The 27,927-nt window shown below is 34.8% G+C and overlaps 1 protein-coding gene and 1 long non-coding RNA gene across 5 annotated transcripts in view, besides 1 other annotated feature; one reads left to right on the top strand and one right to left on the bottom strand.

Annotated features, from left to right (window-relative positions):
• PDE7B (phosphodiesterase 7B) overlaps window positions 1–27,927 on the top strand; it is a 343,874-nt gene that overhangs the window by 1,213 nt on the left and 314,734 nt on the right. The gene's annotated exons all lie outside the window — the stretch shown is intronic.
• LOC101928373 (uncharacterized) lies at window positions 1,123–27,927 on the bottom strand. 4 transcript variants are annotated; one of them, NR_187606.1, is made up of 4 exons: window positions 27,856–27,927; window positions 19,425–19,518; window positions 3,322–3,381; window positions 1,123–3,094 (listed from the first exon to the last, which is right to left on the bottom strand). It is a non-coding gene; the product is annotated as an uncharacterized LOC101928373 (long non-coding RNA). The 4 variants fall into 4 exon arrangements; NR_187607.1 differs by lacking the exon at window positions 19,425–19,518; NR_187609.1 differs by lacking the exons at window positions 3,322–3,381; window positions 19,425–19,518 and adding an exon at window positions 3,694–3,823.
• Window positions 27,556–27,725: an enhancer, noted in NCBI's record as "active region_25108". NCBI's record gives its function as "activates an Ori minimal core promoter by ATAC-STARR-seq in GM12878 lymphoblastoid cells {active_cell/tissue: GM12878}" and the evidence as "EXISTENCE:reporter gene assay evidence [ECO:0000049][PMID:35858748]".

Below are 27,927 nucleotides of genomic sequence, written 5' to 3' on the forward strand. Positions count from 1 at the left end.
ATTCATATACAGTAAACACACTAAATGCTGCAGGAAGATTGGCAATTCAATACAGGGCTAATGTTGTTTTCAGTGGCACATTATTATGTCTTAAGGAGGATCCCTGCTAAAAATCATTCCTATCCAAAGAGTCGGTTTTTGTAACAGCAATTTAAGTAATATATGGTTACCATGGATTTCCCTATTACCCTTCTCAAAGTTATGCAATAGCAAATAAGACAGGATTATTTGAAATCCTTACCCTGTTCCAAAATTTCTAACCGATTTTCTTAAAGTTTCTATTCTCAACATTGAGAACCTGAAAGCTTTAAAACTGGGTCATGTTAGCAGTAATATTAAGCACGATTTCAAACATGAGGTGTATTTCAAAGGGTTAAAAAAATTAACTGCATAAGACTGGAATGTACTAAGTTAAGAACTGCAAAAATATTAGCTCTGAAATGCAGAGGATGTGCCGTGAATGGACAATTGCTTTTCTGCAGCGCCTAGTGGGAAAACAAGGACTTTGTGTGTTGCAAACGCATAACTGCAGCTCCTCCATTTCCTCTGCTTTATCTTTTATTACTGGCTGGTGAAACAAAGACAGGTGTCAGTAGTTACGTCTTGATTGACATTTTCTCCAATAAAATGAAGTCACTTTTGTCTCAAGTAGAAGCCCACAGTTAACTAGTTGCAACTCCAAAAACTGTCTCTGCCTTGTAAGAATTTTTACCTGACACTGTAAGCTGTCTAATTTCAGAATGTACTCACTCTCTTGAACAACATGTGACAAAATCAGTGGTGACTATATGTCAGCAAATTAGCTGGGAGAATTTTTTTTTTTAATTAAGTTATTTAGGGCAAGGGTGGAAAAGTCTAAGATGTGTCAGGGACAGGCATTAATTTAGGGAAAATAATTACACGAGTGCATCATTTAATGCCTTACACAGGGTTCAGCACAAAGCTACTCACTGTCAGTTCTCCATAAAAACCTAGTTAAAATGTTTGCCTAGAATTTACTACCTTTCATATATTGTAAATTATTTAAATAATTTTGGTCTTTTCATGTGTTTTTGAAAAGCACTTTTGGTGTCAGTCCAGCCTGAAATATTATCTAAAAATCAAGTCAATGATACAGAGAAGGACATTTCAAACACTGACACTTTATTTTCAGCCTAAGGACATCTTAAATGCAAAAGTAAAATGACCAAGTTTCCTCAAAGTGGGAATGTACCACCTGGAAAATGCCTCAGCCTAGTAATTATTCGTCTGAAGTCTAACTTGTTGTTAGCCAGGCCCAAATCACAGGAGGAAGCTGTTTGTTGACTCACAGAAGATAGTGTTGGAAGGAATTTATTAAGTGGTAAGCTAATCCCAAAGAATACTAAAAGGGCTTTGTTTATATTAAAGAGAAGTGTCAAATTTAAGGATCAGAACAGACTTTGAAACATCTAAATGTAGAAGCTAAGAGGTAGTCTAAGTAGTTGACCTCACATTGTTGGGGTACATAATTGATTGGAAACTCTCTATCTACAGAAATTCTTATCTGAATAATCCACTATCTTATGGATTCAGCTCTGTATCCCCTCAAAAATCTACAGCTTAGTAGGTATCTATGTTCTAGGGGGTACATTTGACTGAGGAAGAAAGGACTTGGCATTTGGAAATGTGAGGTCTCTCTCACAGCACAAAGACCATCTCTAATCTCTATTGACACCTCCTCATGGCGGCAGCCCCATTTCCCCTAAGAATGTACTTTGGGGAGCACTTCCACTGTCCACAGGAGAGTAGCTGTGGGATCAGCACCACTGGCTTCTAAAGACATCCTCAGTGGCTCTAGGAATCCCCTCTTTGATTCATGAGATGGTGCCTACTTTATATATTAGCAGTCTTTAATGTGGTTTACATGCAAACTTGAAGAAGAGAAGGAGAAAAGGGATGTAGAAACCCAAATCAACTGAATACCTATTATGTACCAGGCATTGTTAGAAATTTCAGTACAGAGAGTGAAATATGTCAAAGTTCTTATGTGTGGTCAAGGCATTTATACTTTCTACTTTCTCAAGAATCATTTAAGTATCTAAATGAGTTGATGTGTACTTAGAGAGTGATTTCATGAAGTGCACTAGAAAGGGCGGTGAACAGAGGTAGTGAACCAAGGTGGTTCATTCAGGCTCTAATGAGCTGGGTGACTCTGAGCCACTCACTCATTCTTGACCTCAGTTTCCTCAATTGTAAGAGCAACTGGTTGCGCTGGGTTATCTCTAACATCCATTTTAGATCAAAATTTTTATAGTATTCTTATTCTCAACCTAGAATTTTTTAACTCCATTTACATGTAAATGTAGAAGTGTCAAACCTTTATTCCAAAAATCATTACTACATGTTTTCAGGATGTCAAGGGCTGTGCCTGTGAATAAGCAATGATTCCCACATTAGGAAACGTATTCTGGTTGAGTATGAATATTTAAACAAATGACTGGAGTCTGTACAAAGAAATGAAAAAACAAAAGGAGAAGTCTGAGAAGGAGGCAGTGATGGAAAACTGCAGAGGAGGCAGCTCTATGCAATTTGGAATTTAAGAAAAAAATAAATTGTATTTCTATTTAGGTATTTATTTTTATATGATGATCTATAATGTGATTAATTAAGTGCATTGTTATTATTTTGGAAATCATGTATTTGCAATGGTGTTCTCAAAAATTAGAATGTTAAAGAGAGCCAAAATTTTCCCATAGGTTGATTCAGCTGCTGTACAGGCCTGATTTGGTAAATCAAATCCGTACATTGGCGTCCTCTTCATCATTCCTTGAACTTAAAACTGTAGGAGTTATGGAAAGCTGGAGTCTTTAGAGAGCACTATGGGCAGCCAAGGTCCCAGCAGGCATCTGATACAAGCCAACAAGGTTCATAGCTGTGATGGTCTTGAACACTGGCGCAAGGTGGTGTCAACATGGTAGGAAATTACCTCAGTGTCAGGAAAACTCTCATGGTGGCTCGGAACTTCAAGATTACTTGTGGGAGTGAAGACACATTTCTTCAACTCTGGAGCTTCCATTTCTTCATCTTTAAGGCTGTTGGATGCCCTTTTTCTTTCCAAATTCTGTGATTTAACCTGACAAAATTAACACTGAATCATTAGCATGTGTTTACTTTTACTTTTCCACCTCTCCCATTCCTTATTTCCACTACTCTCTGTGTAGTTTGCCTTTACTCAGTTGTCCACATTTACACAATTTTACCTCCAAGATAATCTCATTGCCAAGGAAAAGCAAAACAAAACAAGGACTTGGGTTTGAGAATTCCTCCCCAGAAAGACTATCACTCCCCTGAGACAGTCACCTCTCCTCGCTCCATTTCTCTTGTATCAGGTTGATGTGCCCCTCTGTGGCTGTGACACTCCTAGAGAAAGCAAAGAGGCATGCTTTGTGAAAATTGTAGCTAGAAACTTTAATATTACAAGACAAACGTCTTTTTCCTAAATGCCAATCACTGTCCTGGATTTTCTATATTACTTCACTTAATATCTTCTCAATATTAATTCTGATTTCTTTAGAGAATAAATGAAAACCTGTTGATAACTAAGTTGAGGGAACCTTCAGAAGAAAGTTTTGGTGAATTGATTGTCCATTGAGTATCTGCTCTGAGACCTTGCCCTGCTGGTACAGGGTTGCTGCCCCTTACTAGTGATGGGATTTGATGCAGTTCAATCACCTTAATCGAGACATTTCTGGGATTCTGCGTGGCTCAGAGCATTCCAGCTGGTGTCTGCTCTGAGTGAGAGTTTACATTTAACACCTCAAGCATGGAAAATAGGGAGCTGGTTTTGTAGTTTTGGATAAACCTAAAAACAACGTAACAGAAAACACACAGACATCTATTAAGCAATATATAATTCTTGATACTACTGTATAAATATCCCAACATTTTAAAAGCTTAAATCCTTTCATGAATGGTTTACATATTTATGTGTATACAGTATAGAAGTATGAAAATAATAGCCACAGTCAATATACCAGTAAAGAAACTTTGTCATGCATTTGAAGTTCCTTCCTTTCTGCCCTTCCTCCCTCCTCTCTTCCTTTCTTCCCTCCTTCCCTTCCTTCTTTCCTTCTGCCCTCTTACTCCTTTTCCTCCCTCCCTCCCTCCCTCCCTCCCTCCCTTCCTTCCTCCCTTCCTTCCTTCCTTTTCATTCTCCCTCCTTTCCTCTCTCTCTTTCTCTTTCTTTCTTGAATCTGTTAAGGAAAGAAGGGAAAAATAGATTGGTAATGAGGTTTTGAGGAGTTTTCCTTGTGTAAAGTTTGGAGTAATACTTACTTTTTTTTCCTAGTGGTTGGTGAATTCATATAGTTTTTCATTAAATTTCCTGCTGATATTTTTTTCTTATTAATACCTTCTGTGTTCTACATAGTCATAATTCACATATAAATAGGAAGTATATAAAATATTCTTTCTACAAGATGAAAATTATTCCCATTGCTTTAGAAGTGCTCAAAAAAGGATTCTGTTCAAAAATGAAGTTTATACATGACTTAAATATACTTAATCTCTAAGAATCTTCTTTTGTTCTGGCGTGGGGGTGGGGTCCAGGACTAGTATGGTGTGAGGAGTATGTTTCCATAGGTCCAGGCATAGACATGGAGAGGCTACCATATGCCTGGATTGGTCAAAATTTGATACCTGAAGGTACCAAACGGTCAGTGTTTTACATTCTCTTTGACTCTAGCAAATCTTTGTCTAAGAACATATAGAATTGTTTATTTTTGCATTGTTTGTAACCTAAACAATATCAGAAACAACTTGAGCCCAATAATAGGTGAATTATTGAAAAATTATTGCAAAATCATACAATAGAACACCATACAGTCATGTAAAAGAATGAAGTACCTCTACATGCAAAAATCTGGAATAATTTTTCAGATGTATTAAGTGGAGGGGGGAAGCTACATTAACAGTGGTATAAATACATAGACACATTCATATATACTTTTTAAAAATTTCTGGAAATTTGAATTAAAAACTTAACAAACAATGCCTTGGAGAACTTGGAGTATGGGATAGGAACAAGGCTTACTTTTCTTGTATATACTTTAGAATTGTTCAACTTTCCCCTCCATAAATGCATTATATTTATAAAGGGAAAAAGTTACTGACATTTATTTATTGTGTGATATTTTAAAGTGACCAGAAAAATTTGAAGGTAAAAGAAGAAAGAGTTCTATTTTATTTTATGTTTTTCATTTTATTTAATTTAATTACTATTTTTTTGTTTGTTTTTGAGACAGAGTCCTGCTCTGTTGCCCAGGGTGGAGTGAAGTGGCACGATCTTGTCTCACTGCAACCTCCACCTCCCAGAGTCAAGCGATTCTCCTGCCTCACCCTCCCAAGTAGCTGAGATTACAGGCATGCACCACCACACCTGGCTAATTTTTGTATTTTTAGTAGAGATGGGATTTCACCATGTTGGCCAGGCTCGTCTCAAACTCCTGACCTCAAGTGATCCACCCGCCTTGGCCTCCCAAAGTGCTGGTATTGCAGGTGTAAGCCACCACGTCCAGCCTGAGTTCTGTTTTGCTTTAAAATTTCTTCATTAATTTCTTTCTTTGACCCTTACTAAATTTCTCCCATGTACCTTTGACATGGCTAGGGAGCAGAGAATTCCCTGGAAGTAAGAATCCTGGAAGCCAGGAGATAGGGAGCCCATCATTCTTATTTGAGTAACTTTGGGCCAATCAGCCCTCTGGGCACCAGCTTTCTCATGTATAAAATGAGGGGCTTGGTCAAGCTCAAAGTTCCTTTGATCTGGGTCTAAGAAACTTTGGCCTGTTACACGCCCAATTATTTGAGATCTTTCTCCATAAACAATAAACATATTTTACCATACATATTTTACTGGTTTGAACATCTTGACTAAATTTTGTTTTAGAATTGATCAGTTCAGTTTAATTTTTCACATTAACTATACATGCAAAATTAGTATTTATTCAAACCGTGTTTAAGGAAATCACATATCATAGACTTTTAAAGGAAAATTATACTATAATATCAGTTATTCATAAAACAGTAGAAAACATTATATTAAGATGTACAGCTTGTGCAGTTATGCAAGCAAGTAATGCTTCTTCTGTTTGGATATGATTTATACATTTCTTGGTTTTCCAGGAGAGAAAAAAAAAAAAAAGACCTTCATTTCCCTTTCTCATTATGCCACTTGCCAGCTGGGTCCAGTTAGATGAAAGAACTCAGTCATTCACAAAAGTGTAGAAAGCATTCTTGTAAAAGGAGATGCTGCAGTAATACAGAGGTCTAAAGAATGCCTTGATTTAGAAAAGGTCATTAAATCTAAGAAAAAAGTTATTTTCTATGTGACAGAAATATAGTGTGTTTCCATGTTCTTAAGATGAGTGTTCATGCTTTTCCAATTAAATAAAAACCTAATTTCAATTGGGTTTTTAGCTTCATTCGGAAAAGTGTAGGTATTGCTCATTTTCCATATTTAGTAGTTTTTATTTTCTGTTTTTCTAGATCTTCATTATTGTGTTTGGAGTAAAAAATAATCTTTAAGTTAAAATAATACAAAAGGAATAAACATAAAACAGGAATTTGTGTGATAGCAGTTTGGAATGACAAAGACTAACATTCTAAACTTTTCCCTATAAATCTCTTTTAATTATTAAAAATCACTAAGTATTAGAAATATAGTTCAATGGCTTATAAATAAAATAATTGAGAAATATTGTTCTCTTTTTCATTGAATATGTTGCCCCAAGTGCCCATGTGTGGGTGCATGAGAGAGGCCCTTCTTAAACTTGACAAAATGCATGTAAGAGCTTTGTATGTAGTAGTAATACAAAAAAAAAATCAAAACATTGAGTTGGAGAATACAGCCTATTTAAAATATATTGTCTCCTTTAATGTAAGTCTTTAGAAACCAAATAATCAAATACATCTATTGGATTAAATGGCAATAATGAGTAATAATTTAAAATTCAATTTGCTTATTTTGTGTGAAAGGAGAAAAGGAAAAGCAGGAAAAAAAAATGAGGATTCCATTTTTTTTCCAGGAGCATTGAACTTGTAACCTAAAGCCCCGAGTTCAAGTTCCAGATGCTAAGAATGATACTGTTGGCAAGTTATTTAACATTTTTAGATTTCAGGTGTCTAAAATGTAAATGTAAACCTTTAGGTTCCAAAATTTCTGGCTTTCCTATGTAAGTAGTTACTCAGTTCATAATACAAATGTCCTGTAACTTTCTAGAACATTCCTGTTAGATCGGGATTTGTTATGCCCACTTTAAAGGCAAGGAAATTGAGACTCAGATAAATTGCGGCTAATAGTTGAAATGCAACTTCAGCTTTTTGCTGACAGTTTTTAATTGTTTTTATATGCTTAAAATCCATCCTTAATCATTCTAAGAATGAGTTAGGAAACATTTTTAAAATACACAAAATATAAAAATGTCTGTTTTGAAAATGTTAATCTACCCACTATATTTTTATACAAAAGTTCAAATATACAGAAAAACAGTATTATTTCATTTTAAATGGATTTAAATTGATTAAATGGATTAATCTGATACTTTAAACTTCAGAAATTTTGCTCTGAGAGGCAGTAGAGTGCATTGATCAACAGTGCATAATTTGGCGACATTCAGTATGGTTCATTTATTAGCTCTGTGACCATGAAGAAGTTACTTAATCTCTCTAGGCCTCGCTCTGCTTATTTGTTAGATTAAGGTGTTTCTAATATCTGCTTCTTGAGAGAATTCTTGAGAGAATGGAATGACTTTTTATTTGTAAAATGCTTAGAACAGAGTATGAAAGAGTAAAACTTAATGTTAGTGTATCAACTGGTATTATTTGCTTTCAAGTTTTAGAAATTATTTCATGGAATTATTTTGTTTACAATGTTGTTGGTGCTTTAAACATTTAAGATAAATCTTGTTTTAAATTTTTTTTTTTACTTTCTGAATTAAACTATAGCACACATAACAGAAAATTATCTAACATATAATTATGCACCATTGAACCCCTACATAGAAGTCAAGAGAGTCAAGAAATAGAACATTATTACATGTTTGGCACCTGAGGAAACCCATCATGCCTCTTCCATTCTTTCATGCAGTGTTATATCTGAAGACTAGATAGGTTGTTGCCTATCATTGTATTTTGTTCATTTTCATTGTTGCATGATGTTTAATTATCTGAATACACGGTATTTACCATTCTACTGTAGAAAGCATTTTAATTGTATCCAGTTTTTAACATTATGAATAATGCTGGCCTGAGTATTCACAGGCCTGTCTTTTGGTGCACATGTACAGGTATATCTGTTGAGGTTATACCTAGGAATAAAGTTGCTGGGCCACAGGGAATGTTTATATCCAAATTTAGTAAAAAATTCAAAATTGCTCAAAGTGGTTAAAATAATTTACGCCCCCACCAACAATACATGTTCAGTTACTCTACTTCCTCACTGGTAACTTATCTTGGTTTTAATTTTCACTTCCCTGTTTACTAATGGTCTGAGCACCTTTTCACATGTATATTGGCCATGTAAATATCTTTTTTGTCAAGTCTCTGATCAAGTTATTTTGTATATTTATAGGATATTATATATACTTATATATATATAATAAACATATTTGATACCTTTGATTGTTATATATATTACAAACATTTTTTCCATTGGTAAAATCTCATGTTTTATTCTTCTCAAGATTGTTTTTATCATTTTTGATTCTTTACATTTTCATAATAATTTTAGAATTAACTTAAGATTCTTCCCTAAAACAAAATACTGTTGGGATATAGATCAATTTGGGAAGACTGGCATCTTTTCTGAGTCTTCCAATTCATAAACATAATGTATCCTTCTATTTATTTAGGTGTTTGTTAATTTCTGTCAGTAATATCTTCTGGCTAGCTTTTGGTCATTTTACATATTCCTTGCTAGACATATTACTGGGCACTTAGTATTTTGATGGTATTCCAACTGGCATCTCTTCAATTTCTATTTTTAACTTTTTGTTACTGATACATAGAAAAACAATCAACTTCTGTATATCAATTAATTATCAGCAACCTTGCAAAACTCACAAATTCCAATACATTATCTATGGATTATTTTGCTTTTCCATAGAGGTAATCAGAGCATCCAGAATACTGGTGGTCACCGATTTTCCTTTTTAATGCTGATAACTTTGTTTTATTGTACTGGATAGGATTTTCAGTATATTGTTGAAGGGGTAATCGTGGCAATATTATCTTGTTTCCAGTCTCAGAAAGAAAGCTTTCAACATTCTACCACTAAGTTTGATATTTTCTATAACATTTGAAAGTTTCCTTTTATTCCTAGTTTGCTAAGCATTTCTTATTAAATGTTCTTTAAAATACTTTTCGTATGACTTTTCCCTTTTATTCTGTTTATAGGTGATTGATTTTATAATTTCAAAACTGAAATCCTAGGATAAATGTAACTTGGTCATGTTATGTTATGCTCATTTTCAATATCACTCATTACTCTGTTTCTGAATTGCTAATAATTTTTAGGATTTTGAAACTATGTTGATGAAAACCATTAACCTAAAATTATCCTTTTTTGTTATGGCCTTATCAAGGTTCCATTGACTTTATTAAATTAGTTAGGAAATATTACCCTAGTAAAAATGTTCTGGGACAGTTTTGTAAGTTTATATTATTTTTTTTCCTCAAATATTTGATAGAAATTGCACATAAGTCCATCTGGGTCTGAAATATTTTGTGGACAAGTTTTTAGTTACAGTTTTAATTCCATTTATTTTTATGGGCTATTCAGATTTTCTATTTTCATTGTCAGTTTTAGTAATTTCTCATGGATTTGTTGTTGTTGTTGATTATTTTTCAGTGTTTCTTCTTTTTGAATATATACATTTAAAGAAGCAAATTTATTTTTCACAGTTTCAGCTGTCTCCCCTAGGTTTTAAAATTTACTGTTTCTATTAGCAGTTAATTCAAGACAATTTCAATTATAATTTGTTTTTCACCTGTGAATTATTTAGAAGTATATTTATTAATTTGCAAACAAATTGGGATGTCCTAGTTCTCTTTTTGTCTTTGTTTCCTAGTATAATTCTACTGTGCTTACAAGTCATACCATTAAGATCTTTGAATTTTTTGAAACTTGAATGTATAACCGAATATATAGTCAGCTTTTCTAAACGTATTACATGTGCTTGAAGTAAATGTATTCTGCAATTGTTAGGTATAGTGCTCTATAGATGTCAATTAGAAGATTTATTCATCATATCATTGAAATCTTTTGTATCTTTATTGATTTTCTTTGCTTCTATTACTGAAAGAGGTATATTTAAAAACTTCCTCATGATTGAGAATTATTTTCCTTTATTTTGCCATCATTTGCTTATATATTATATTGAACAATGTAAAATTGCCATTTTTTTAGATCAAGGTTGAATATCAGCAATTTTATAAAATTTAAACTAGTATTTTGATACTGTGCTGTTATATGCTGCCTTCACAGTAGGGGCAATACTTAGTTCTTGGGGAGCCAAAACCCTTAGACATCATAATGGTTTGTGACCTAAAAAGGTTCAGCACATAAACAGATATTCAGTCAAGTTGGCATTAAAATTTCCTTGACTGGGGGGAGTGTGATTAGGGAAAGAAATATCTATAATGGCTCCATAAGGGAGGAGGATGATAATGGAAAAAAGGTTGAGAATTCCTTATAAACAATTTTAGAACTGTTGTAACTTCCTGGCGAATTGAAATTTTACCATAGTAAAACATCCCTTCCAATTTTTTTTTTTTTTTTTGCCTTCAATTCTCCTTGGGCTGATACTAAAATCTATAAAGCTAGCTTTCCATTGCTTAGTGGTTGCATGCCTTATCATTTTTTATTCTTTTAGTTTTAAATTGTCTATATGTTTATGTTTTAGGTGTGTCTGTTTACAAGCAGCAAATAAGTAAATTTTCTTTTATCATTCAGTCTGACTATATTTGCCTTTTCAGTGAATATTTAATCCTTTTATAATTAATGGAAGCAGTGATATATTTGGGTTCAAACATGCTGACTTACTATGTACAATTTATTTATTCTTCTTGTTCTATATTTCTTTTTCTCTCCTCACTTTCCTAATTATGAATTAAGTATCTTTGTAATTGCACTGCCCCCTTTCCGTTAGCTTTAGCTTGTTACTTTTACATTATTTTACATTGTTTTACTGGTGACTATTGCGGTTACAGGATGCATCTATGACCTAATACAAGCATAATGCATATTAGTACTTTTATTCCTTTGTGGCAAATTTGAGAACTTCGGAATGCCTTAACTACTTTTGTATCCCTCCTAAATTATATGCTATTGTTAGGTATTTAACTTTATATAATGTAAATCTTTGAATAATTATATATTATTATGGTTTCTTACAATTACACATCTTCTTCATTCTTTCCTGCATCTCTAAGGTCACATATAGGATTTCCTTTAGTGCAGTGATGATTTTGTTTAGATTTTGGTTTTGTATGAAATGGCTTTATTTTACCTTTATTTCTGATGTGTACTTTTGCTGGTAATAAAATTATAGATTGTAATCCCCCTCCTCCTTACTTTAAAATATTATTGTATTGTCTTATCACTTTTATTGTTTCTGTTGATAAGTCAGAAAATAGTCTTTTAAAAGCAATCTGTCCATTTCCTCTGTTTGTAGCCCTATTTTCATGTTTGATTGCTTGTTTTGCCATGATTACTTAGGTATGGTTTTCTCTGCATTTATCCCAATTAGGGCTTGTATGGTTTCTTAAATGTGTGTCGTGATATTGTTTAACAATTTTGGAAAATTTTCATTAATTATCTCTTTCAATATTGCTTCTGCCCCATTATCTCTAGCCTTTCTTTTTTTATTATTATTATTATACTTTAAGTTCTAGGGTACATGTGCACAATGTGCAGGTTTGTTACGTATGTATACATGTGCCATGTTGGTGTGCCGCACCCATTAACTCGTCATTTACATTAGGTATATCTCCCAATGCTATCCCTCCCCCCTCCCCCCACCCCACAACAGGCCCTGGTGTGTGATGTCCCCCTCCTGCATCCAAGTGTTCTCATTGTTCAATTCCCACCTGTGAGTGAGAACATGCAATGTTTGTTTTTTTGTCCTTGCAGTAGACGAACAATGATAGACTGGATTAAGAAAATGTGGCACATATACACCATGGAATACTATGCAGCCATAAAAAATGATGAGTTCATGTCCTTTGTAGGGACATAGATGAAGCTGGAAACCATCATTCTCTAGCTCTTCTTAATGGGACTCCAGTTACATGTATGTTCGAGTTTTGAATGTTCCTACTCCCATTACTTACCTTCAATCTCTTTGTTCTTCATTTTGAAGATTTTCTTTAGACCAATATTTTTATTTCCCTAAGTCTTTCTTCATCTGTATCTAATCTGTCATTTATCCCATAAAACAATTTGTTAAGTTATGATATTCTTCGGTCTTAAAATTTTTAGGGATTTTTGGTCATTTCTAGCTTTCTGTCAAAATTCTCAATCTTGCCTCTCATATCCTTAAACATATTCTGCAAATCATTATAAAACTTTTGTTGCTTTTATTTTGATCTCTTGAGTGTTTATAGCTGTTGTCTGCTGCTGCTGCTGGTTGAATCAAAGTGGCTGGTTTTCATATACCTGGTTATTTTTGATGAAGCACTAGGCATTGTGTGTGTGTGTGTGTGTGTGTGTGTGTGTGTGTATGTGTGGAGAGAGAGAGAGAGAGACAGAGACAGAGAAATTACTTGAGGCCTAGTGTGATGTTATCTGTCTCTAGATAGGATCTACATTTGCTTCAGCAGTTATCAGTGGTAATAACAATCTTGTCTTAATCTGATTTCACATTGAATTAATATATATGAGGTGATTGAAAGTGGTTGGCACTTAATAAGAAGTCTGCAGCTATTCATTTTTATCTATTATTGTTTTCTTCAAAAGATAGGGAAAGAGAGTAAGGGTAGTGAGGAGTAGTGAATAGTGCATAGTGAGGAAAACACATATAGTATTAAAAGACTCCAATATGGACTAGAAGTAAATATTCAAAAATTTTTATTACTTTGCTGTATTTTATCTTGTATTTGAAACAAATTGTATCTTATTTTGTTTTCAATTTAGCAGATTTATTTTAATCATTAACTTTAAAAAACAAAAGTAGAACACACATTAGAAAATTCCAACTGTTCAGAAGGGCATAAAATGAAAAGTAAAAATCTTCCTCTTCCTCTCACCACCACCATTCACCTCAATCTCTATCTAAAATTGTTTAGAATTTTTTAATATATTCATAAAAATGCATGTTTTATTTGTACCCACATCTACATGTACTCACCTACCCTTTTGTACAATTAAGAAATAAATTTTAAAATGAGAAGTATTTATCAAAATCATAAACTAAGTAAATAATAATATGTTCACCTTCCATATTTCATTGTGGCCATTATAATATTATGCGAACATTTCTTTACAAAAGCATTACAATCTCATCAGAGTAATAACGTTAGTTTGTAATTGTTACTTGCCAGTAGTACTTTAACAAAGTATCATTCTGAGGTTGCTAATAGGCTAGGGAGATCTTAGGTCAAAGAACTACTTGTTACAGATTCTGCCTTTCATCAGTAGCTCACATTTTCCATCAAATATATTTGGCATACTACACTATTGAGCTCCTGATTTATGGCTTTCGTGCATAGAAGTTAGTGTTTTCTTGTATAGTCGCTGATATAAATTAGCTAAAATTAGCTCATAGCAACTTTCTTCATTATCTAAATTGTTTCACAGTTTACAGTTCTGTACAAGCTAATGTCTCAGAATGAAAATGATAGTGCATACGTGTCGTAAACACATAAAAGATTATTTCCAGGACACTAGCCATGTCCTGTGGAAATAGCAAATAAATTATTTAGATGATTGCAAATAATATAAACCCTAGAGTAAGCTTAGCTATGCTACGGTAAAATTCTGGTCTAGTTATGTAAAACTAGGTCTTTGGTGTTCTGTATTTATCTGTTGCCTCTGGCGGTTTGTCAGCTTTTCTTGGGTGCTTGTGTTTTCCTAATACTTTATGCAGGTTTTTCCTGTGTGGGGGATCTTTCGAGCACAGGTGAACTTGAAGTTACAGCTAATAAATGTAAAATATGCTAAGTCCTTAGCCTAGAGTCCAATCATTAATAATTTATGAGCAATTTGAGCAATTTACAAGTAACTTGAAAGTATATGTGTGTAGAAGAGAAATAGTAAACAGTTTTAAAACTGTGTTTGCTATAACTTTTTCAATAGGACAGATTTTCTTTATAAAAAGATACATATTTCTAGTTTTTGTAATATTATGCAGTATTTTTGTTCCTTTTCAAAACAGAAATTAGAAAATTAAAATTTTTGAGAGAGTCAATGTTCAACAATTTTAATAATATATGTTACTAAATGTATGCTAAAACATTAAATTGAAAACATGTTAATACATCGTAAGGTTTAAAAATTTTTTTTAACTTTTAAGGTCAGGGGTACATGTGCAGGATGTGCAGGTTTGTTATGTAGGGAAACGTGTGTCATGGGGATTTGCTGTACAGATTATTTCATCACCCAAGTATTAAGCCTACTACCCATTAGTTATTTTCCTGATCCCTCTCCTTCCTCCCACCCTCTACCGTCCAGTAGGCCCCAGTGTGCACTGTTCCCCTCTTAAATGGTAAGTTTTATGAAACGTTACTCTTCTCCGTTGATAATATTATACCTTACAGGTAACAGTAGAAGCTAAGGAAAAGTGACTTAATATTTAAGCCGAAGGACTAAGTACATTTTAATGTGTTACTCCATGAATTTTCTTAACTGAGAAAATATTTTTAACTTTGGCATATTTTTAAGTAATAACAAAGAGTTATCACAAACTGGAGCTGCAGAAGTAGATAATAGCACTAAGATACAGTTTTTAATTGCTACTTTCTGTGAAAAGGTGTATGAGTTGTTCTCTTTAATACAGCAAACATTTACAGTGTTTCTTCTTTAAAGTAATGCAAAAAGGTAATCTAAGGAATCCACAAATAAATTTTTCAAAGCTCATTTTATGTGTTGAATTAAAAAAAATTTATAAGTCTGATAAATTTGACATGCATTTAGGTTATTCATACAATCTTGAGTAAGCAAGATGACATTTATTTTCTAACTATGAAGTGAATCCCAAATTATGTCATTTATCTCCAAAGAGGTCTCACAACATAGCTTTTTTTTTTTTCTAATTAAATTTTCAGGCTAGGATAAGTTCTTTGGCACTACCAAGATGAGTTTCAAATTCTACATGGCAGAGGGTTCTCTGAGTTTTTGTCCTTGTCTTGGGCCATTGTTCCACAGGTAGATGCCAGCATGGCCATATCAATCATTCACCTCTGGTCGAGCTAATGGTTAAATATTTTTACTATCACCATCACCCCCACTCCAGTGCCTGTGTTTTATCAGGATGATGGTGGAAACATCAATTGGGGAGATAAACTTTTTTTTTTTTTTGAGACGGAGTCTCGCTCTGTCACCCAGTCTGGCTGGGGTGCAGTGGCACTATCTTGGCTCACTGCAACCTCCGCCTCCTGAGTTCAAGTGATTCTCCTGCCTCAGCCTCCTAAGTAGCTGAGACTACAGGCAGGTGTCACCATGCACAGGTAATTTTTGTATTTTTAGTAGAGACAGGATTTTGCCCTGTTGGCCAGGCTGGTCTTGAACTTCTGATCTCAGGTGATCTGCCTGCCTGGGCCTCCCAAAAGTACTGAGATTACAGGTGTGAGCCACCGCGCCCAGCCTTGGGGAGTACTTGTGTAATGAACACAGTTCTGATGGTGCCTGTGCACTATTCATTAAAAATGATTCTTACTCCTGCTTAACTGAAATTGAATTTTAGGCACAATATTTTACATTGTCTTGTTTAGTATGTCCGAACCTTAAGTACACTGGCTCAATTGTTTTTTGACTATGACAGTCTCAGATAAATCATCACATGATTCTGTGTTTCCTACTGCTGAAGGCTGTGTACATATGTGTGTGTATAAATATACATATATTATATCAAGCCATTGAAATGATCATCTTTTGGCCAAAAAAGTAAATATCAGCAATTTCATATGGCCCAATCGTGTGTGTGTATGTATACTTGTACACATATGAGGGCATAAAACCAGATGACTGGTATATGATGTTAGTCTTTTAATTAATAGAATCTAAAATTATAAGTAGTTTCCTTAGATTTTAGGATTGGGGTGGATAGAGACTGCTTTCGATGGTGTGAAAGTATCTGTAATTTGCACATGTGACAAACTATTAATCAGCCCCAAATTTTAGTATAAATATATACATATATTTAGTACATATACTATTACTGCATAGTATATTTATGAAGTCTTGAGAAAAATTCTGATTCCTGCTTAAATCTCTCAAATAATCTCAGAAAATCTCTAATATATGGATAAAATTGTCCCCATCTTGAAGAACAAACTCAGACTCTCATTACTTAATTAGCATAAAGTCAGTACTTTTAGGTGAGAGAGCCTAGATTTATTCATTCAACCATCAGGTATTTGGGGCCCTAGTATGGTCTAGGGACTGGAAATAAGTAGAAAAAACAAAGTTCCCATCCCCATGAAGCTTGCATTCCAGTCAGAGATGACTGACAGTTACTACATAGACTAGTAGTTGTGACAGTTAATTTCAGAGATTGCTAAATCTACGAAGAAAGTAAGACAAAGTAATGAGACAACAGGTTGCTGGCTGTGGAGACTTGGCTCCATAGCCAGAAGAGAGCCCAATGGAGTCTTTTCTCTACTGAAATGATTGAGAAAGAGACAGCCAAACCTGGAAAAAGAGTGATCCCGGCAGAGGAGAGAGCAAGAGCGAAGTCCTGAGAAGAAAACATGTTTTGATGTCTGAAAGACAGAAAGGGCAGTGCTTTTGGAGCAAAATGAGGTGATGGGATGGAAGGAGATGAGCAGGCATGGGAAGGTGAGGCACAGGGCATGCAGATATTCACAGGGCGTGGTGGAAATTGTACTCTTCTCACAGTAAATGAGAAGCCACTGAAACCATGTAGACAGGGAGGAGAGACCAAGTGATTCATGCTTTAAAAGGAGCACTCTGACTCCAGTGTGGAGAATGGGTTGTCAGCCTAGGCTAGGGACGACATCATAAGCAGCTGGTGGGTGTTGTAGGCAAGATGGGAGATGACGATGGCCCGGAGTAAGCTGAAACACTAGAGTGGTGGACAGTGTTCAGATTTGGGTATTTACTATAGGAATATAGGACCAAATGGTGGATTGGATGAAAAGAAGAGGCAGCAATACACAATGCTGTGATTCCAGATTCTGGAGCTGGGCTCCTTGGTGGCATGTTCTGGCTCTGCCCCCTATCAGCTTTGTAACCTTGGTCAAATAGCCTCTTCTCAGTTTCTGCATTGGTAAAACTGGTGGAGGGTGCTAATAGTGCCTACCTTAGAGGATTGCCATAAGGATTAAATGTGTGTGTGTGTGTGTGCACACAGGCTTAGAACTGAGTTCAGTAGTAAGTACTACCCCTATTTATTTAGGTGATATGTACTTGTGAAATGTACATTTCACAAGTACATATCACCTAAATAAACTAAATTTGAGAACAATTGATTATAGATTTTTGGCCTACATCACTAGGTGGTACCATTCACTGAATTAGGGAAGATCGAGGGAGGATCAGTTTGGAGGAGGGGAGATGCAGGAAATAAGAGTTGTGTTTAGGACACATTCAGCTTGAGAGGCCTATCAGTGAAACAGAGATGAAAAGTCTGGAATTCAGAAGAGAGATGAAAACTGAATTTAAATTTATCAATATATATGCTATTTAAAGCCTTGGAACTGGATGAGCTCACCTAGGAAGACAATGTAAAGAGGAAGAGGGTGGAGAATGAAGACTCCCAGAAGCGTGGGGAGGTTGGGAAAGGAGGAGGAGCAGGAAATGATTCAAATGCATCCACATCTGGTTTTCCCATAGTGCTGCCTATATTATTGGAGCCCTGCCCGAAGAGCTCATGCTACAGAAGCTTCTGTAGACATGAAAGCCTCTTTAGACATTCTTACTGGTAAGGGGCTGAGGCTTCCAGTTTGGACCCTGATGACAGGAATTTTCCATTTATACTTGAGAGTAGCACAAAGAAGCTGTGGTAGGAATCTGCTGCTCTCTATTTACTCTGAGATGTTTTTAGTGCAATCACAGTTATATGTGGCCCCTAATGATAGATCAATTGTTTTAAATTGTGTCATTATTATATATTTTACTTTACATGAAGAGATGGGCATCTTCAATTTACAAAGTTGATTAGAACTGAAAAAGAATGTTTCCATGGACACTGTACTATTCATTATCATTTGATTCCCAGTCAGCCCACAAAAGCCTGTGTAACCCACAAGGACGTGAAATCAAAGTACAAAGACCACATAGATCCCAAACAGCAGAAGCAACAGGGCTTACAGAAATATTTGCTTAGATTCCTTAAGATACCAGAAAGACATTTTCTTCTCCTCTTATTTGGGCTCAGCAAAGCAAGGACAGAGAGTTGCCTATTGGGTGGGGTGGGAGGAGCTAGGGAAGGCACTTCTGTGGCCAGTTACTCACATGGGTAGTCAATGACTGTAGAAAACATAAATGTTGAATTGAGAAAAAGAATTCTGGGGAAAGACAGGAAACTGGAAATCTACTCTTAGCTTTGACAGCTACCTGTGCTATGGCCTGAAGGAAGTCACTAACTGTTCCGTGCCTCAGTTTTCTTTCATTTTATATTGGCTACAATAATCACTTTCAATGTTGTCGTAAGGATAGGTGTATACACACACACACACACACACACACATATAATATACACATTCATGTGTGACCATGTGGATGGTGGAAAGATCTAAGTAACTATTAACTATTGTTTATTATTATTGTCTTGTAGCCTCATATCATCTCTTGGTTTTTAATTTTAATTAATGATTCTTAGGAAACTATGAATGGCAGGACTTTAATAATGTGGAGCAATAATAACAGAAATGAGATTTAAAAGAAAACAACAAATTCAAGCAATGCGGGAGAAATTTTATTCATAACATTGTGATTAGGTCACCTAGTTTCTCATTAGCTCTTCCAATTTTTCCTAACAGATGCCTCAGTGAGTTGTCAAAAATGATCTAATTCCAGCCTTTTTAAAGGCTTGGTGCTTGCAGCAAAGAGTTCAGTTGCTTTAGCAAGTTATCTTATGTAAATATGGCCAGTAGCATCCTGGTAATTTGCCTCCAGAAAGTAATCTAGAATTTCATTATAAACTCTTATTTATTCTCACAGCATCATTCAGTGTACTAAGCAGGGAGAATTCCTGTTTAAGATTTTCATAATTTTATCAATGACTTACCAACATTGCTCAGGCTTTTCTTGTAGAGTATCATCCACAATACACTAACATTGCAATTGTCTTTTTAAAAATATTTTCAATTTCACATAAGACACTGCAAAAAAAATCATACAGAAAAGATATATTTGAGCTTTGCAGTTTGTATAGCTTCTCCAAAGAATGCAGTATGTCAAATGCAAGTGTTCACAGTATATTAAAAATTGGTTAGGAATCAGTGTTTCCTTTCTATACTGTCAGATTAATGCTCTTTGCTTCAAGACCACACAGAAGAAAACCCAACATTGTGGACCCTCCCTACCTAACAAAGTCTCACAAGGTGAACTCATTCTATGTTTGAAGTGAGTCTGTTGGATAAAGACTATCAAGGACTATGTAGACACATTAACTGAAGTCTATTATGGAAATTTTGTCTGAAAATTTACTTTTCTGCCCACTTAATCAACTTTTTGATAAGTTAATATATAATAAAATGCATTCAGTATACATGTGAACCTTGGAAAACATAACCTTATTTAATACTACTCATTTATATAGTAGTGAGTGTGTGTGAATGAGTGAATGTGCTTTATTTCTCATTTCTCCACATCCAAATCTTTCTCTTATGTTCTGTTTTTGAAAACTTCATAATCAGCAGATTAAAACTATCTTGAACTTAGGGATGATTTTTCTCAGTTTATACTTCATTCTGTAAATAGAAACGTTCTATGTAACGAATAATTTTTGTATACATGGACGGTCCATGTATACGATTGCTCCATACTATGAAGGTTCCTGATTTTGAAGCTGGGTGAGTGAGCTGAGAGCGAAACAAATCTAGTGATCTGTCATTAAGTGGCAATTGTTGTTTAACTCCCTTCACTTTTCTCTACCACAAGTTTCTAAATTTCTGCTGTCAAGAACACACCTGAATTTCTAAACCATTCACAAACACAAAATGACATGACAGACACAAATATCTATGAATGGGGGTAAAGATGCCTTCCCAATATCTTCAAGTGTCTGCTTTGTCTCCAGGTTTTGCAAACTCAATATTTGAGTCCACAAATATGCACAAAATTTTTTTCACTGAAATAATACGGTGTCTTGTGAGTAGTTTTATTTTGGAGTTTTTGGCTAAATTGTTTTTGAAGGATTATTGAATTATCTTTTATATAGATCTTTAATATAGTATGATGTAGTTCTGGTAGTTTTATGAATTCTGGAAAATAATGGGTGCTTGGAGACAATAGTAGAATTTACTGAATATATGAGGTAGGCATATATGATTGATTTTGGAGGGCATTGTTTTTATCTTCATTGTGATTGCAATAGCAACATAAACATGTTGTAAGTAGATAGGCAAATAAGAAAATGTAAATATTGATAATTTTTAACTTATAATCAATATAAACTTTGGTTTATATTCACAGACATAGACAATGTTTTTATATTAAAAAGTTTAAAATTTTAATTGCAAATATTTCAAATATAAGAAAACTATCAGAAATAATATGACAGACATCCATGTATCCACCACACAGATGGCCATCTATTCATTAATTCATTTATTCATTCAACAAATATTTATTGGGAACTACTAAGCTAGATGTTGTTCTAGGCACCTGCAGATTCAGCAGTAAGCAAAATAGATCATAATAAATTCAATCCATATGTAAAAGATGGTGGTTGCTGATGATTGCTATAGAAAAAAGAAGAGCAGAGAAAATGCTAGGGAATGTGGGAGGATGGGCATGAAATTTTTAAGAAGGTGCTTGGGAGGTCTCACTAAGCAGATAACTTCTGAGACTTGAAGGAATTGAGGGAGTAAACCATGCAGATACCTGGGGAAAGAATGTTCACAGCAGAGGACACAGCAAGTGCAAATGCCTGGAGGTGGGAATGCATCTGATGTCGTGAGTCTCTCTGTTATCTCTCTGTCTGCTTCATTAATTTCTATCCTTGGTCTAATGGTTTTCTTTCTTCTACTGATTTGTGGCTTACTCTGTTGCTGAGTTTTCTTCTTACTTTCTTTCTAATTTATGCCTTGCAAACTATAAATTTCCCTCCAAATGCCTTTTTAGCTGAACATCACAACCTTTGAAAGAGGGTATATTCACTGTGGTCCATTTCTAAATATTTTATAATGTCTACAATTTTATTTCTACTCAGTAATTATTTGAAGTGGTTACTTTAGATTTCTTAAGTGTGACAAGTGGAAAGGAGATTGCGGTCTTTTATTATTGATTTCCAAATTTAATGCATTGTATTAAGGGAATGCTGCTTATGTAAAATGATTCCTAGATATCTTTGAGGTTTGCTTTGTAGCTTGTCACTAATTTTTATTTTAAAAAATCCATGTAGAAATGAACATATTTTCTGTAATTGTTGGAAACAGTGATTATATGTAGTCATCAGAGCAAACTTGTTAACTGTGTTGTCAAAATTGTCCATTTGCTTACACTGGGAATAGTCTATTCCCTTACTTATTTGCCTTCTGGGTCAATGACTGTAATAGGTAAATTAAAATTTCCTGCTATGTTTATAGATTTGTAAATTTCTCCTTGTAATTCTGTCAATTTTTGCTTTGTATACTTTGAAGTTTGCCTGGTAGATAAATGTAAATTCAGAGGGATAATCTTCCTGGTAATTGTTACTTTTATTTCTGCTAAGAAGTCTATTCCATTTATTAAAATATTAATAATATTCTAATATTAAAAGCTTCTATTCCAGTTCTCTTTTGGTTACAGTTTTCCTGATAGATCTTTTTTATCCTCTTACTTTCAACATTTCTGTGAGTGCATATTCTTGGTGTGTCTTTTTAAAACAATATATAACTGAATTTAGTTTTTAATGCAATCACTTTCTTTTAACTGTCAAGCTAAATCCATATATGTATTAAGAATTATTTATTTATTCACATCTAACTTTGTTTTGCTATTCATCCTTTTTTTGTTACTTCTTTGCTTTTTTCTGCTTTCAACTAGATGGATTGAGGTTTTAAATATATTTTCTCTTATTGGTTTAGAGATTAGACATTTCATTTTTTGTGGTTTCAGCAGATACACTCACATTTTTAGCATTTTATACTAGAATAAAAATATAAATAAATTTATGTGTATTTAATATCCCTATCATACCCTAGAAAAATATAAGAAACTTACTGAAATCATCTTAAATGAGATCATGTCCATCCCTAGAACTGTTATTGTTATATATATCTGAGCTCTACTTTGTTTTGAAACCCTGAACTATTATCTTTTTAAATTTTTATAGCAAATGCTTATCTAAATTTCCTCATGTGTTTCCCAATATTGCTCAACATTCCTTCATGAATTCATTTTTACTTTTCAGGTTCACATTCAATCTTGAAGGGTATGTAAGTGGTAAATATTTTCAGTGTTTAGACTAAAACGTATCCTTATTTAACCTTTGTTCTTGAATGATAATTTAACAGGATCTAGAATTCTCTAGGTTTTCGTTATTTTTTCTGAGCACTTTGAGGACAATATTCACTTGCCATTTGGTCTCTATTGTTGCCAACAAAAATTCTTTTGTGAGGCTAATTGGTGTGACTTTGTGGTCATCTGTTATTTCTGGTTGCTTTTAAGGTTTTCTCTCTGTGGTGGTTCAGGTCTTCTGCAAAGGACACACCAAGACAAAATTAGAAACAAGAGATTTGGGGAGGAAAGTGGCTGTGAAGGACAGAGCAGAACGGGAAAGGAATAGATAGAGACAGCCTTCAGACCTCAGGGCAGGTGTGACCCGATAAAAGGGGAGGGAGAAGAAAGGAATATGGGGTAGGAAAAGGCTCAAGTAGCAGTGCAGCCAGGCTCCTGGGGACCTGCTAAGTAGAAATGGCTGTGAGAAGAGTTTGGCATTAGCAGGAAGGCCTCAGCTGTAGTACCCCACCATGCCTAGCACAGAAGTGGAGCAGTCTGGGGAGAGAGTGGCCTCCGCACACACCTGTGGATCTGAGGCTGTCGGCTGTCAGCTAACTGCACGCCTGGTAGCAGCTCCCCTTTAAGAGGAGAGCTGAGGGCCACCACACTTGTCTTTCATGTTCTACAGCTTCACTAAAGTGTCTAGATTTACTTTTATTTTTCCTACCTTATAATCTTGCATTTCTTCTCCTACATTTCATATATTTCATCATAAGCTGGTGAAATTTCAGCCATGCTTTCTTGGAAAATGGCATCTCCTACCTTTTCTCACTTTCTTGAACTTATATAGTCGATAGATATGTTCAATATCCTCATTCCAGGCTGGGCGTGGTGGCTGAAGCCTGTAATCCCAGCACTTTGGGAGGCTGAGGCAGGTGAATCACGAGGTCAGGAGTTCAAGACCAGCCTGGCCAACATGGTGAGACCCCCGTCTCTACTAAAAATACAAAAAATTAGCTGGTCATGGTGGTGGGCACCTGTAATCCCACCTACTCAGGAGGCTGAGGCAGGAGAATTGCTTGAACCTGGGAGGCGGAGGTTGCAGTGAGCTGAGATTGCGCCACTGCGCTCCAGCCTGGGTGACAGTGAGAGACTCTGTGTCAAAAAAAAAAAAAATTCCCATCCATCATTATTTCTAAACCACCCTTTCATATTTGCCATATATTTATTTCACTATACTTCATTGTGAAAATGTCCTTAGATTTCTCTTCCAGTTCAGTATTTTATTGAACTGGGTCTAAAATACTTTTGCTTCATATTTGCGTTTTCATCTTTAATTACCATATATCTCATTTCTAGAAGATACATTTGTTCTTTAAAAAAAAATCTACCGAATTCTATTTCAGTGTCCATTCTTTCTCTATAATTTTGATCTTTTCCTTTATCTCCAGTAATCTGCAACCTGCTTGTTTTGTGGATTCCTTGACATTGTTCCATTAACTTGTGTTCTGAAACTTCTGTCTGCTGACTCCTTCTTGATGGATTTCCTTTCTTTTTTATTTTTTATTTTTATTATTTACTTCTTTTTCATGTCATGTTTTGGGATTGCTTCCAAATAGTTTCCCAGAAATTTTGCCATTCTAGAACCAGTTTACACATTCCTTTTTTTTTTTTTTTTTCACCTTAGATATCCTGTACCATTCAGATGTCAGTTTCAGATTTGGGCTTTCAATTTTTTATGTGGGTTGCTATTTGTTTCCTTTTTCCCATCCTGGGATGACAGAAAGAAATTGGCTTGTCACTTCCCTGGAATGATGACCTTTTATTTCTCCTTTCCCTGAGGGGCAGCCCAGGGTCATGCTAATGCAAAGCTCTAGGTTCCAGTTCCTTCACTTTGGCTTCTAATTGGACAATAAAACCCTAACCCTATACCAGAGGTCTCAGAAGTCATTAATATCTTTCTTAGATTTGGTTCGCTCAGAAGCAGATCCTGAGACTCAAGGGCATTCCATATTCTTTGGGAAGTACACAGACCTCCAGGAAAACAAAACAAAACAAAAAAAAAAAAAAAGGGAGGGGCAGGGAGACAAAGGAAATCAATAGACTGTTTTTAAGCCAGCAACGTCAGTGGATGATTAAAGTGGGAAACGGGAAAGAGTGTAAAACACGTGCTTCAGAATTAAGCCACCCAGAGGGCTGAAGGAGCTCGTATATTTATACACCCTATCTGGGGAGTCATTGGTTGAGGGTTACTAGAGCAGAAGCAGGAGATAGTCTTTGACATCTCCAACGTGCCACATGCAATTAGAGCAGGTTTCCAGAGTTCTGGGGAAAGGAAGCCCTAATTTATAGAGAAGGAAATCCTGGCAGTTCCAAGTCAAAGGGAATACCCTAAAAGGCCCAAGGGGTATGGACAGAGAACTTTCATCATCTGCCGCAATATCCTGTTAGTTGCCACGTTTCTCTCATGACCATAACACTGAATTTAAGTTACTTCTTTGCTATGGTTCTTAGAAATTTTATTTTCTTTGATATTTGTTTAATAAATCATTTACATTTTTATTACATATTTTATCAGTCTTTTTTTTTAAAATAGTGTGTTTATAGTGGGAAAGAGGTCTGCTTACGTCAGTGCTCATGTTGTTAGAACCAAACTTTCAAAATATTTTAATGTACACTTTAACTTTATAAAATAATACTAAATATGCCATCACAACTTGCCTTAATATTCAAAATAACTTTGACAACTTTTCCATAACCATAAATGTAGGTCCACTTTACTTTGTAAAATGTATTTCTCCAAATTAATATAGATATTTGTCTACAGATGTCGCTATTACAAAGAATGCAATAAACATTATTTTACCTATTCTTTCATACGTATGCTTGTATATCTTTGGTATAAATTCCTAGTACTAGATGGCAGGGATCAAAACTTTTAGCACATTTAAACTTTAACTGATATTTGTGAAATCTGCCTAAATTGCTTTTAGCATTCTTTATTCTCACCCACAGCTTGGGAGGGTATCTTCTTTTCTATCCTTACCAAAAATCTATAAACATCAGTCATTTGATTCTTTGATGATGTGATGAGTCAATAGTGATAGATCACTTAATTTGTTTTATCTTAATTATTAGAGAAGGCAAAACATTTTATATATTCCTGACAATTGATATTCACATGTACGTATTTTTATGGGCCTGCCCCCTTTTTTTATTTGATTTGTAACAGCTTTATATTATGAACACTAGCCCTTTGTCATATATCTTGAGTATATTTTTTGAAGTTTATATTTCATTTTTTGAATTTGTTTATTGTGACTTTTTACCCATGTAAAATTTTATGAAACCAATTTCATCCATTTTTGACTTCATGGTTTCTCATTTTTCAAATCACACATTTAAAAAGCCTTCTATAATTATTAATTATAAAAAGATTTTATGCAGTTATTGGACGCCTCCCATGAATTGGATATACCATGGCATGAGGGGAAAGGGACAGAGATGAATAAGAAGCCTTTTATTGCTTCAAAGAGTATCATATTAAATATAAAATATTTTTTTCTCTAGAAGGAATGAAGTAAATAGACCTTTTCCCCTCTACAAACAAACAAGGGAACAGATAACAAGTCTCTAAACTTGTGTATCTTTTTTAAAAGAAAAACTCCAACCAGTCAAAACATCAACAAATATAGTAAATAATAATATTCAGAACTGATCAGCGAGAAAGCCAGGCCTAGAACTCAAGGTCTGTTTATATACTGATACTGTAAGACTGGCAAAAACAGTGCCACTTCATTAGCCAAGGCATACTCTGCAGGACCTACAAAAAGTGGTTTTTTTTTTCTTAAGAGTACTTTTAAAAATATTTAACCAATACTCGTCTCAGTAGCATTTGTAGACAACTGTAATGACCATAATTTGCTAAATGTTGATGCAAGAAAAATACTTTTTAAAGACATAATCCCTGTCCTTAAGGAAATACAGTTGGAGAGGCAAACTATATATGAATGAAACAGCCTAAGAATGATATGAAGACCAGACAAAACAATGTGGGATAGATCTTGTGCTTATGGTCAGAGCTTAGGAAAAGGGTCCTCAGTGCCCCTGTGGCAATCAACAAGTATTCATACTAACTCCATGTAGAACTTCCTCAAGTTGTAATCTTATAGATTGTATTGATGCTTGCTGATACAAAGAACTCTTAGACATTGGGAATGATATAAATCTAAATAAAATTATGTATGTACATAATTATGCAAAACTATAAATATCTACCCCCAAATTAAATAAGGACAACCCCCAAGTCTTGATGTTTTAAATGTTAATGTAGTAGAGCAGAAAAGTGAGCAAGCCATGAAGGCAGATGCTCTGGAAAAATCACTCTTGTTTTCATACGCATCGTAAAACATCACCCCACAAACCACATCCTGACATTGCTGACATTCACCCCTCCTATACATGCTCAGCCTGAGCCTGTTTGGCTTGAGTTGCCTGACAGTAAAACAGGATTCAGAGGGAAGATGAAAGGGAGAAAGCAGTGGACTACAGATAATCCACTAAACAGAAAATCAACTCAGGGAAGTCTCCGCTTGGGGCCATGTACTTTGGGAACAGGAATGTTGGTGTATAACTTGAGGTCTCATGAGTTTATTCATCCAACAAACACTTATGAAATACCGACTACAAGCCAAACATCATATGTTTAGATGGGTGGAGTCAAGAGGCACTTTTTAAGCAGTTAGGGAAGGAAAATCTCAGGCAAGGGTACGGTAAGTTGTATGTGTAGAACTAAGGAAAACATCACAGACATAGTCTGATGGCTGGGAGGAGGCCTCAGATTGGCAGTAGAAAAACTGAAAGTAAAACAGGATTGAAAGCAACGCTTGAAAGCAACACCATGAATATAAAGAAGTAAATTTGTCTTCATTCCCCTGTCCTGGGACTTAAGAAAAAGAGAATTTGGAGCTGATCTTCCACTGGGCCCTGAAGTTGAGAGAGGCAGAGGAAGTTAAAGCCAAGATTGCTATGCAAAAGAAATCTTTCAGCAAAGGGGATTTCAAAGTACTGACCTGAATAATTTCCATTTGGGGCTGCTGAAGAGAAGCAGTTGTGTTCACGGGGTGAAGCAAGGAGGAAATGGG

Source organism: Homo sapiens, chromosome 6 (assembly GCF_000001405.40).
Source record: "Homo sapiens chromosome 6, GRCh38.p14 Primary Assembly".
Taxonomy (NCBI): Eukaryota; Metazoa; Chordata; class Mammalia; order Primates; family Hominidae; genus Homo; species Homo sapiens.